The following is a 13,037-nucleotide window of genomic DNA, read 5'->3' on the forward strand; positions in this document are numbered from 1 at the left end:
GTGCACACAGAAGAAGCGGCTGAATGACATGGCAAAAGTCTCCATGTATCTATGGAAGTGGGGAAAGGAGGCCCCAAACCAACCTTTTCATCAGGCCCCTGGCAAGCACCTCCCCATACCACACCAAAAGCAGAATTAGTAGCGTTGAATACAGTGCCTGAGGGGGTCAATACATGCTGATTATACACAACTACCTGGGAAGTCTGAGAATAGTTATATAAAGGATGCTAGAAGAGTGCTTACCCTAGTTTCTGTAGCCATGGTGATCCATGTATTGGATATATGCCTAATCGTCCAGGCTGTCTCAACCTCGGTACATTGACATTTTGAGCTAGATAATTTTTGGTTGGGGATGGGGTGGGGAACGCTATTTTGTGCATCGTCTGAGGTTTAGCATCATCTCTGGCCTCCACCCACTAGATGCCAGTGGTGTTCCTCCCCCTAGCAAAAATGTCTCCAGATATTTCCAAGTGTCCCAATGTCCCCAGGGAAGAGGAGCCAAAAATCACCCCTAGTTGAAAGCCACTTATCTAGTCTGTATATTCATGACATGGACCAGAATTAGAATGATTATACTCTCCTCTCTTTTTCCTGAATCAGTATTTCTTCATCTACTTATTGAAGTATTATATTCTCTTAATCTGCTTTTATTCAGTTTTCTCTGTTCTCATACACCTGAGGGTTGGGGGGAGCCTTTCAAGGTATTGCCACATAAGTTAAGAAGAGCTAAAAAGAGACCTGTTTCTCCCTTAGGAGAAAGGAATATTAAAGAGAAAACATTCCACATAGAAATTGGATCAGTAGCTAATGAGGCTGTTTTGCAGAATGAGTTTAAGATGGCCTAAGCTGAAATTCATGTGTCTGTGAGCCCAGAAGAACCTTTGTATGTTAAAAGAAACTACTTTCATTTGTTTGCTACTGTCATACAAAAGTATCCTTCTGTCAAACAGATTTTTTTTTCTTTCTTGGCTTTGTTTTTATTTACTTCCTATTTATATTAACACTATCAGGAAGATACCCGTGTGGGCTCCAGGAACAGACTGTCTCAGTAACTCTTCCCCCTTCAGAAGCACAGTAAGTAGTCCCGAGAACTGAAGCAATGAGGAGCCTCTAGAGTGATGATTTGTGTCTGCTCTTTTTTATATGTGAAAAATTTGAATCTTAGAATACTGACTTAAACCCAGCCAGTGGGCAATCTGCTTGAAAATGACTACACATTCATATGTAAGGGTAAGAAATAATTTATGACAAATAAATCTCATGAAAAATTCTAATTTCATTCATGTTGCTACAAGTATAGCTTCATGCTTTAAAAAAAAATGCGGGCTGGTAACATTTTTCTATCTTACTTACAGTGTAGAGTTAAACAGGTGCCCTTACCTCTCCTCCAGTGCATGGAAAAGGACTGGAGTATTTAGAAGTACAAATAGCGCCCTTCTTGACAACATCATCTTCCAGGCCAAATGTAGCGGAGCAGTTAGTCGCAAAGTACTTATAAGGCTTCCATGTTTTCCCAAAGTCCTGGGAGCGGTCCAGCACCATGGCAGCCGGCCTGGGGGACTTGAACATCACAATTAGGTGAGTGAAGTAGAATTCAGCTTCCAGGTCTAACTGGATCTTTTCTCTGTGCACATCCTCCGCAGACTGCCACCATGTGCGAGGAAACCGGAAGGATGAGTCTGCCATGGCAGATGGCAGGTGAGCCAGGTGAGGATAGGCAGCATTGCACTTGTCACATTTGGGCTGCCGACAAGTCAGATCCGTGTTCTCACTGTAGAAGCAGTACAGTTCGGTAGCATTCTGACCGCAGGTGGTGTCTGCCCAGAGTTTTCGCCCCAAAGCCAAATTTCCCATCCGAGGGTTGCAGGCTTTTTCACAGCGGGAACTCACTCCAGCTACTCCACTCAGTCCTAAGAAAGGGAAAGCATGCATGATGCAAGACAAACCCATCTGGAAAGCTCTTTTGGCCACCTAGTCCATCAACAACAGTCAAGGATCTCCCCAAAAGCGCTTGAGACTTTCGATAAATGGCAAATTCTACCATGCTCCACCATGTTCCTGTTTGAGCATGAACACTGTTCTGCATTCACAATGCATTCGTGTATGCGTGTGTGTGTGCGTGTGTGTGTGTATTTGCTTTTCATGTTCAGATGTAAAATTCACATCACAGAAACAAACACTTTAGGCAGAGGGCAAGAGGAGGGAAAATAGAACCACCAGGGTGAAGATTATTGGCCTAAAACTTTTCAAGTACTTTGCCTTATAAATGTTTTCTGTATTTCAAATACATTGATGTGTTTTTGAAGTCATGACTATTGAAAAACCATAATGTTTTTAAGACCACCTAAGTTAGTCTTTCAAATTTAATGTGAGTCCTTCACATGATTTAACATGTTTATTATGAGAATGTATTTAGAAGGAAATGTGGAATTCTATTTTCTTTATATTTTTAAGCCAGGGAAGGGATAAATTCCCTAGGAAAAGCAATATGAGATATTTAATAAATATACAATGGGTCCTCATTTAGAGGGAGGCAAAGCTAGAGACCTTTGGAGTTCAGATGTGCACTATCAGTTTCTAACATTACATAAACATAACTAAGAAAAAAACTCTCTGAACTGCCAAATGGCAGAAAAGCTTATTTTACATGCTGTCTCTTCAGGGTTTCTACCTGTGACAGGTTATAGAGTAGTTAACTGTTTGCTTAACAGGAGAGTGTCTACAGTCTGGCAGCCACTAACAGCACCTTTAAATATTATCTGTGAACTACAAGACCTTCTTTAAAAAACACACTTTTCCTCCCAAAGGTCCAACAGACTTTAATGTTTTAAAATGACTTAAAATGATAAACATTATCCACTTATTAACATTCTGAGTACATACTATAATCCTTTGATTTGCGTTTGTCATTTTAATTGTGAATACCTTAAGCAAAAATCATCTATTTTAAAGGTTAAAACAGAGGGGGAAAGAGGGAAAAGGAAATCAACCCTTAAATTCTGGCTAATTGAATGTTTCTGCTGCTTAAGAAGCAGTACCTCTGAACTGTTGTCATAGTAAGGATTGGAGGAGGCCAAATGACAGCTTAGGCTGCAACAGAGACATTTCACACACTGACAATGGCCAACCCCACGAAGCCTTGCAACTAAAGGGCTTCCTTAGGCATTATTTTTTAAATGTCAAATTAAAGTGTGCATTATGCCTGGGTTCTGTTTGCCACTTTTCTCATTAGCTGGGGCAACAGTTGCTTGTGGCCAGAAGCACACAAACACACAATGTGCTATGACTCACCTGTAAAAAATTTCAAGGAAAATCATATACTGCCTGTACAAGTATTTTTGACTTGAAACACTTGCCTTGTGATGTTTATTTACAACCTTTCAATGGCTTGCATGTTTTTGCCATAATATGGTTTGAGAAGGAAAAGGTTTTTTTTAAAGCTCATATTTTAAGAGTGCAAGAATTAAAGTAAAATCTTAGGCCTTTAATAGGTCCCTGGGAAAAATATCCAATAATTTTAAATGCCCCTAAACTCCTAAGTCCAGAAAAGATTTGAGCCAGATAAAGAATCCATGGGGCAAAATACTTGGAGTCACTCAAGGGACTATTCAATGATACTAAGGATGCTCCTGTGACTTGGACTGGTTTGGGATGCAGACTGGAAAGCCTGGATTTTGCTGGGTGCCAGCGGCCCTCAGGGAAGAGTGGAAGCCCAAGGGAGGAGATGCGTGCTACAATGTTCTGTAGCCACCAGCGCATCCCTCTAGCCCAGGCGCCCCTTTCTGAAGCAGTCAAGATCCGCACGAGAGACTGGATGTCTGCAGACTCCCTCACATCTCTCCCCCTCACCTACAGGGCTGCGCTTACGCCTAACTGGAAACCAGGTGACCCGCAAGAGGGAGGGAGAGGAGCAGAAGGGGCTCCCGAATACAGAAACCACGAGCCAGGAGCCGGTGGCCTAGGGCAGCCCAAGAAAGCCAGGATGGGAGTGGGAGGGAGAGGGCATCTGCCGACGCCGACGCCGGTTGTCCAGTTACCGAGCCAGGGAGCAGACCCGCCTCCGACCTCCCGCAGAGTCTCTGCCAGGGTACCAATTCCCCAGGGGCGGCCAGCCAGCTCAATGCAAGCCCGGGGTGATCACCACCTATCGTCCAAGCCAGGAGTCCCACTGCGTTCCAGTCACTGCTCCGGGGAGAGGGCGCTCAGCCCTGCCCCAGGTGTCCTTACCTGGTTCTCTAGTACCCAGCACCAGGTCAGGGACACCAGCGATGGGCTTCTACCAGAGACCGGCCCCAGCCCACGCGCGCCCAGGGTCGCTGGGCCACCCCTCCTCATCATTCCTTAGGCCATGAAGTGCCGGGGGATGGCGAGCTGGGTCCTTTGTTCCCTCACCAAGTGGAAAAGCAGTTTTTTAACAAGCCAAACCAAGAAAGAAACCCCGGTCGCAGTATCCCCGGCAGGGCGCACCCAGGATAGCTGGTTATCCAAGCGCATGTGTATCCCAGTTGTAAAAATAAATCAATAGTATTTGAAACTGCGGAGCCCCGGGGAAAGGAGGCGGAACATGGCCACTCATTTCACCCTCGGGAGCAGCGCTCTGCGCTCGCAGCCCTGGCTCCCCTGCACCCCCGAGTCCCGAGATGGGTTAGAGAAGCAGCGAGGGAAGGGGTGGGGGCCCCGCCGCGTCACCACCCACCTGCGGCCACCACCGTGCAGCCCCAGAGCAGCAGCAGCCGCGCGCAGCTCCCCATGGCCGGGAGGAGCCGGGAGCAGCCGGGCCGGGCGGGTGCCGGAGGGAGCCGAGACCTCTGGGCTGCGGGATGAAGCGCCGCCGTCCTCGGGAGGGAACGGGGCCCTGGTTTCTTCCTCCTCCTGGGGCGCCGGGCTCGGTCAGCGGTCGCCGGCAGCTGGGAGCCAGGGGCCGGGACCGCGCGGGGAGGTGGGGTGACCCTCGCGCACCGGCCTGGCGGGTCCCGGGCACCTGGGGGGCGGCGGGAGCCCCGGGACCATAGCCGGCCTGGCTGCGCTGCCCCGCGGAGCGGCCCTGCGGGCTCGTCTGCCGCTAGCCCGGGGCTCGGCGCCCGCAGCCGCCGCTGAACTTTGCGAGACCTTTCACTTCCCGGCCGCCGCCGCCGCCTCCTCCTGGGCGTCCTCCTCCGCTTTTCCCACCTCTTCTGGCTGCCCCGGCTCCGTCCCGTCCTTCTCCACGGGCAGTTCCATGCGATGCATTTTTATTGCACCGACGCCGCGGCGCTCCGGTGCCAGCCCTCCTCCCCTCGCACCTCCACCCCTTCCTCCCGCCCGCCCCCCGCGCTTGACAGCCCGGGCGGCGCAGCCCGCGGGATCGGATCGCCGCTGCCGCTGCCGCCCGGGGGGGGGGTCCCCCGCGCCCCGACCGACGCCCCCGACGCCCGGCTGCCCGCTGGTCCCGGTCGCCTCAGCCTGGCCCCCGGCTGCCCTGGCGCCCCTCCTGGCCCGCGCCCTGCATCTCCCTAGTGACCCCCCTGGTGCCCTGCAGCACCCACAGGCCTCCCCTGGGAAGCAATCTCCCACCTTCTCCCGGAACATTCCTAAGAGCAGTAGACTCCCTCTAGATCAGGTCAGGGCATGCCAAGGGGCTTAAAAAACCGCGAAACAGGCTAGCGCCTACTTCCCACATCCCCCAGCGAAACAAGCCCTCCCTCCTCCTCCAGCCACCCCCTCTCGGGGAGTCCCACGACCCGGGGACGGAACACCCCAACCCAGCCCCGCGTCACCCGCACTGAGAGCGCGCCAACTGCTAAGCGGCGTTCGCCGCTTCTCTGCTGCCTTTTGCGGGGGTAGGGGGATGTCTCGGCTAAACAATCGCTGCCTACATGATCCGAAGGTGTGCCCACTTTGGTGTAAGAGGTATTGCCTAACTCAAACTCAAGGTGCTGAAAGAAAAGGGTCACAGGATTAGCTAGTCGGCAGTGTAAGAACATCGTTGTCCAGAGGCAGGGCAAGGGCACGACAAAGGGAACTCTTCGGTCCTTCCAAGCGTTCTCCCTTTATAGAGTATGCCGTGCTGTGAAACAGTGTTAGGAACTAACTTATGGGGAGCAATTTAGTAGCAACCACACGCAGCTAATTGCAGATAGGATTGCTCAGGGCTGGTGCTTCTGGAAAGAGATTAAATAGCAGCCGAGTCTGAGATTTTTGCAAGTTCTGTGAAAATATAATTCTACTTACACATCCAGGGAAACTGGCAAAAGTTAAGTCGACAGCAATTTTGTATTGCAGTGCTCATTTTGTTCCTTTGAATATTTTCCAGAAAATTAACTACGTTCCAGATACCATTTAGTCGTTGTGTCTGTTACAGATGAGGATAATTCAGAGCTTTGGGATACATGTAGATATTATTTACAATGACCCAGCCAGGAACATATAAGAAGTTTATATCTCCCAGGGGGATCTGGGTTGAGGTCAGCATAATCCATTTGGGCGACATTAAAATTATTCTTCTGGCCAACAGAGGAAAGTAGCAGAAGGTGTGGACAGCAATTCATGTAGCATCACCTGCTTTAGAAAATAAACGCTTTGAGTTCCCAAATACTGGCAATGGTGGGGCTTTCTTCATATCTCCTAATGGAGCCATTGAAACACCTCTCCAATTAATCTTTTTACCAAATAAATGATAGGAAACTATAACAGCCAAAGGTTCTTAGCATAAATGTTAACTTAATAGCCAAGGCAAATTAAACAAAGGGGTGGATGCACATTTATTATTAACTTCTGAGTCTAGTATATTTAGGCAGAACTAATCCATTTCTGTTTTTTAATTAACAAATAAACTTGTATGTATTTATCATGTACAACATGATGTTTTGAAATATGTATACAGCGTGGAATGACTAAATCTAGCCAATGAACATATGCATTTTTGCATATTAACATGCATTTAAGAATACACTCACTGTCTTAGCATTTTTCAAGAGTACAATATATTGCTAAAAATATAGAATGCTTCACAAATTTGTATGCCATTCTCATGCAGAGGCCATGCTAATCTTCTCTGTATTGTTCCAATTTTAGCATATGTGCTGCCAAAGCAATCACAGAACTACTCCATATCTCATTACAAATTTCAAAGCCATTTACTGTCTGCACGAATCCTGCATTGATAATATATTTCTTTGCTGAATAACTGGCTCTTATTTCCTTTAACAAGACAGAAAGCTCTCTAATGGTAGAACAGTCTTTAATATTCAGTTTATACAAAACATTACTATGTTTTTCTGATATTTTTCCTTATTCTTAGCCAAGAACACCTACAATAAGTGTTCATTACATGTTTTTGACTGAGTTGTGTTAAAACTATTGTTATATACTAAGGGGCTAAGGAGACTAAGGACTAAGGAGAAAACCAGTTATATCACAATGATTTCCCATATTCAAAAGGAATCTGCACATTCGACACCAATACTATCTATATGAAAAGCTCAGGAGAGAAAAATAGTCAGCATTCTAATAAACATCATTTGCTTATATAGTCCAGTTTAGTTACAAAGGATATTTTCATTTTGAAGAAGCTATCCAAGAAAAGGTTACCTACATAAGAAAAATCTTGGATAAGTATATTATTGCCTATGATTTTGTTTTTGAAAACATCAGTCATGGATTCAGAATATTTTGTAATTTTATGAATTAGTAGGAAGCTTAGCAAACTTACAGAATTTCAATAACAATTCCCAGAAACCACAAAATTGATAAGTTAAATCTAGAATATTCCTGAGAACTTGAAAGGAAGTTAAAAGGGTCTTTAAAAAGTAAAATAAATGGCATAGCCAGGCGTGGTGGCATATGCCTCTGGTCCCAGCTACTTGGGAGGCTGAGGTGGGAGGATAGCTTGAGCCTGGGAGGTCGAGGCTGCAGTGAGCTGTGTTGGCACCACTGTACTCCAGCCTGGGCAACAGAGTGAGACCTTGTCTCAAAATAAATAAAATAAAATAAATGGCAAAACTCTTTGCACCAAAGACTTTACTCACAGGAGAGCCCTTCAGGACCTCACTTAAATCATTCATGTATTTTTATTAAGTTTGGTTATGACATCTTTCTAGATCACAGCCTATTAGAAGTAACAGATTAGAATGGAGCAGGATGTTATTAAAGACAGGGGATAAACTGAGGCAATCCAGTAATGAGAAGGATGGGAAAACTCTAAAAAGCAGCCATAAGTACAAAAACAAAACCAAAACATCCACAGCAGTCTGAGGCCTTCTAGTGCAGAAACAAAGGACGAAAAAGCTATAAAGGCATCACTCTCCGGTAACTTAGTAGAGTAAGTGAGGTTCCTAGTGGAGCGTAAGACATTCAGAATCAGGAGGGACCCTTGAGCCCAACTTCTCACTCCATCAAAACCCCTTTCCACAAAGCCTCTGTCCAAAGGTCATCCAGTTTCTGTTCTAAAAATCTCCATAAACAAGAGCCTCAAAGGCAATTCTGCTCATTTTTGGCACTGTTGTTCTATTTAAGTGGGATGTTTCTCTTCTTAAAATTCTGTGTTTATAGGTTAGTCATCTGCAACCATACAGAATAAGTCCAATTTCTCTTCTGGTAGGTATTCAATGATTTAAAGTAAAGTTTTAATAATTTTCATCTTAACTATCCTTTTAGTTTAAACACCCATATGACAGGATTCCCACACTTTTCACCATCTTAATCACCTCTTTTCAGATATACCCCAGCTTGTCTTACACTGTGCATGTAGAACTCAACTCCAGGTTTGTCTGATCAACATAGAATAGAACTAACATTTTCCTTAACTTAGCTCTATGGCTTATATTTCTGTAACCTAATGTGATGTTGGCTGGTATATTTGAAGTCAGCTAAAATCCTTTTTTCATATATTGGTATCTTACAGAGTCATCAATAAAAGGTAAAATATATTTTGTTTTACCAGAGGGAAATATTTCCATTAAAATACATTGCATGTAGTAAGCATTCAATAAACATGAATTTGAAGAATAAATCAACAAATTTAAGCTGCTAAGTTTGAAAAATGGTTACAAATTTTAAAAGAAACTTTTAGTTTTCAAAGAACTAATTACCTATTTTCTGAAAAGGTGATCACTTTTATGGAAAATTTGACTCTTCAACAATACCATTTGCAACTGGCATTATTATACATTTCCAAGAAAAAGAAAGACTCTGAAAATAGTGATATTTTTAGTATACCTAGTGTTTTTTCTCCATGGAAGTATAAACATGATCTTATTTATCCTCACAGCATCAATGTGTGGGAGGGAACAGGAATAGTTGTGCCCATTTATACAAAGAGAAAGTGAGATGAAAGATGTAAGTGCCAAACTTAGATCATACAATAAATACACACTGAAGATAGGACCTGGGTTTTCAGATAAAAAAAAAAAAATCATTGCTTATCCATCAATTTTCCATGAATACAATCTTCTCTCTCTTTGAACTAGAAGACTACTGGGAGAAGATAAAATGGAGAATTGTTTTCATTAAAATAATCCTAGATTTTGTTTTCTACCTGGACTGTGCCCTTTGAATGCCCTTTAAAAACATCATCTTGGGAATTTCCTTAAGCTTTAACTTAAGCCTCCTGCCATGGGCGCTCTTTCTTATTTCATGTGCTTCCTGGCTTCAGCTGCTCATTCCTAGGAAGGGAGGGAGTGAGAGGCTTTGAAAATACACATGCTCTTCCAGGAAGGTAACCATACTTTTCTAAAAAAAAAAAAAAAAAAGCACGCATGCTCTCTCATGTTGAAATTAATTATATGAGGGCAAGAAATTTTTTTAAAAAAACAAAAACAAAAACCAAGAACAGTTGTGTTGTTATTACAGATATAGCTACCATTGACAGCATTATATTGACACACATTTCTAAATGGCTCTTAGCTAAAACTTTCTGTACCTATTGCTATTTCTGAAATTGATGAAAATCCAACTCAGTAGCTTAACCAAATTGAGATTGATTTTTCTTACAAGACAAGAAGTCAGGAGGTAGACAGTCCAATATAAATGCAGCTACTCAAGGAAGTCATCCAGATTTGTTTGGTGTTCTCCCTCATGGGCACAAGATGGTTTTTCTGCCTCCAGGACGGGTGTTGTTATTCTAGAAAAGAGAAAAGGGTAAAAGATACATGCCAGCTGGCCTTAAAACACTTTCCCAGTAACCTCACCCATCTGCTTATATCTAATTGTCTAGAACTGGGTTACATGGCCTCTTCAGACCATGAGGAAGTCTGGAGAGCTAAGCATTTTAACTGGGCACATTGACACCCTTAACAAAATCAGGATTCTACTGGAAAGAAGGGGAGGTTGGATATCAAGTAGACAACTACAGGAGCAGTATATGTCATCCAAAGTTAGCAATTTCACTGATGTGTTTGGCCCAAGCACCTATTAACATATTCAGTGGCTTCTCATCATTGGCACATAAAATGCATGTTGCTTGGCTTGGCACCCAAACCTATAATGTCCCGGTTCCTTGCCACTCACAGTGAACAACCTGCACTCTTGAAGATGGACAATACTGCTTCATGCCTCTCGCTTCTGCACACCCTCTCCTCCTTCTGGCTACCTCTGGCAGGTCCTTGGAAATTCAGTTCTGACAATAGCTGCTGTGACACCTTTCCTTCTTAGGCTCCTCTTCCAACAGGGTTAGTTTCCCCTCTGTCCTCTCATGGCACCCCCTGTATCACTTTATTATTCTCAGTTATACTTTTTTTTCTCATATACTGGGTGAAAGAAAATTAAAAGCAAAATTGTATATATGCTTTCATTATTGTTTTTGGTTTCTGTTTTGTTTTCAAACAGGTCTCACTCTATTGCCCAGGCTGGAATGCAGTGGTGCAATCTCAGCTCACCGCAACCTTGACCTCTGGGCTCAGATGATCCTCCTGCTTCAAGTCTTCCAAGTGGCAGGGTCTATAAGTGCACACCACCATGCCCAGCTAATTTTTTTGTTTGTTCGTTTAGTGATGGGGTTTTGCCATGTTGCACAGGCCGGTCTTGAACTCCTGGGCTCAAGCAATCCACCCGCCTTGGCCTCCTAAAGTGCTGGGATTACAGGCATGAGTCACAGTGCCCAGCCACTTTCATTATAACAACAGAAAACATACATATGAAAAAGGTCTGGAAAGAAATACATCAAAATATTAGAGATGACTGTTCCTCTGGCCTCTAAACTTTCAGCAATACCATAGGATTGTTATAATTCCATTTTTTGTTCTACAAAATATAACAACTTAAGGCAGGATATGATAAAGCAGTGCCTGGCAGTGCCTCAAGAGTGGCATATAAAGTAGGCTATTAGCACAGGTGAAACTTTGTGGGCTGAGGAAGTTAAAAAAAACCACATGGAGGATGTGGACTGAACCTGGGCACTAACAATTGTGTAGGTGTGGATGAATATGGTGTGGATGAATATGCCAGTGGTGGTCGCCTAAGTGCTCCAGTGTGAATAAACAGAGTGCCTCTGAGAGAATGAGTGGAGTCTATTAGGAGAAGGAGATTCATAGGGATTCGTGGAATGGGGAAGAAAAAGCAGAGGAGGGACAAACAAATAAAGGCTTTGGCAAGTCAAGCTGCTTTGTGTTGGGAGGTTCTCTGAGTCATAATTTAGAAATGACATATAATAGATTAGGAAAAGAAGACTTGGAAGGTGAGCTAAGGGCTACTTTATGAGAATACCTGGGTCTACACCAAGATGAGGATAGGGATAATGGACAGGGGTTGGGAGGAATTGAAGAAGAACCAAAAAGAAATTGATAGAACTTTGTAACTGACCATGGGATTGGCCGAAGACTGGGAAGAAATTAAAAATGACTTGGGCCAGTGCGGTGGCTCACACTTGTAATTCCTGCACTTTGGGAGGCTGAGGCAGGCAGATCACTTGAGGTCAGGAATTCGAAACCAGCTTGGTCAACATGGCGAAACCCCGTTTCTACTAAAAATACAAAAATTAGGCAGGTGTGGTGGTGCATGCCTGTAATTCCAGCTACTCGGGAGGCTAAGGCAGGAGAATCACTTGAACACTGTGGCGAGGAGTGGGTGGGGGGTGAATGAGGGGGGACAAAAAAGTGACTTGGATTGGGGGCTCTGAATCTGGTTAGTTGAAAAAATAATAATCTCTTTTGCAGAAATAGGAAAATCAGGAGATGTAGTTGGTTTGGGAGGTGACTGATTCTATTTGGAACGGGTTGACTTAGTGAGGATGGCAGACCAGTCATGTCCAGCAGATGGTTAAACTGGCTTTAAAGCTTAGTGGGACAGTCAGACAATAAAATTTATAACTTTACCTAATTCATAATTACACTGATAAAACCTTAGCATAGGAAAAGACCTTGGAAGTTATTAGTCCAACCTTTTCTGACACGAGAAAACTGAAGTCCATTTAAAACTTTTTATTTCACAGGCCCCAGCCTAGTCAAGGTTATACAGCTAGTTAGGTTTGGTGACTAAGCTGGGTTTGCAAATTTAGCCTTTTCTTTGCCTAGTACTCTTATGCAAGCAATTGAGAGTACAAAGATTCTACTCAATTTGTCTAGTTCAACGAAAGTACTATTGTCTAAGTATTAGAAAATCAAGCTTAAAAAAGCTCACAATCTACTGAAGCAGCAATTTGATTAAAAACATCCCTTGTCCATAGGTGGGATTTCAAGATATGTAATATAGTAGAATATGTTCAAGATGTTAATTAAGCTAGATATGCTTCTGGTTTGGTTTTATCTATAGCTCCTAATTACCCTGGACACTTTCCGATCCTAAACCTGTGCTGCAATTTCAAACACAAGTGCCTTTCTGAATATTTTTATTACAATTGTGCCTTACAAGATTACAATGCAATTTAGAGGGTAAATCTATGACACAATCTGCTTCAACCCTAAATTCAGTATAATTGACCTCATCATAGAAGAGGCATTCAGTTATCAGAAACATTAGAAAAACTTCATTAACCAGTATTAAAACTGTACCATCTCAGAGCTCAAATTAATGGTTTCAGGATGTTAATACATTTTGAAAACCTGTAAATGAATTTTAAGCAAATT

At 43.7% G+C, this 13,037-nt stretch overlaps 1 protein-coding gene, 1 long non-coding RNA gene and 1 pseudogene across 5 annotated transcripts in view; all 3 read right to left on the minus strand.

Annotated features, from left to right (window-relative positions):
- The window catches only part of NTN4 (netrin 4), a 133,349-nt gene extending 127,752 nt beyond the window's left edge, over positions 1-5,597 (minus strand). For 2 of the 4 annotated variants that reach the window (NM_001329700.2, NM_021229.4), the window contains exons 1-2: positions 4,697-5,206; positions 1,381-1,910 (exon numbers count right to left, since the gene is read on the minus strand). In NM_001329700.2, coding sequence (NP_001316629.1) covers positions 1,381-1,910; positions 4,697-4,751 — 585 coding nt within the window. In that variant the 5' untranslated portion in view covers positions 4,752-5,206. Of the gene's footprint in view, positions 1-1,380; positions 1,911-4,227; positions 4,638-4,696; positions 5,207-5,553 lie in introns of those variants that run through there. The other 2 variants (NM_001329701.2, NM_001329702.2) reach the window with 2 other exon arrangements.
- Positions 6,971-7,077, minus strand: RNU6-247P (RNA, U6 small nuclear 247, pseudogene; annotated as a pseudogene).
- The window catches only part of SNRPF-DT (SNRPF divergent transcript), a 63,495-nt gene continuing 60,244 nt past the window's right edge, over positions 9,787-13,037 (minus strand). The window contains exon 3 of the long non-coding RNA NR_135014.1: positions 9,787-10,099. This is a non-coding gene — a long non-coding RNA (SNRPF divergent transcript). The remainder of the gene's footprint in view (positions 10,100-13,037) is intronic.

Source organism: Homo sapiens, chromosome 12 (genome assembly GCF_000001405.40).
Source record: "Homo sapiens chromosome 12, GRCh38.p14 Primary Assembly".
Classification (NCBI taxonomy): domain Eukaryota; kingdom Metazoa; phylum Chordata; class Mammalia; order Primates; family Hominidae; genus Homo; species Homo sapiens.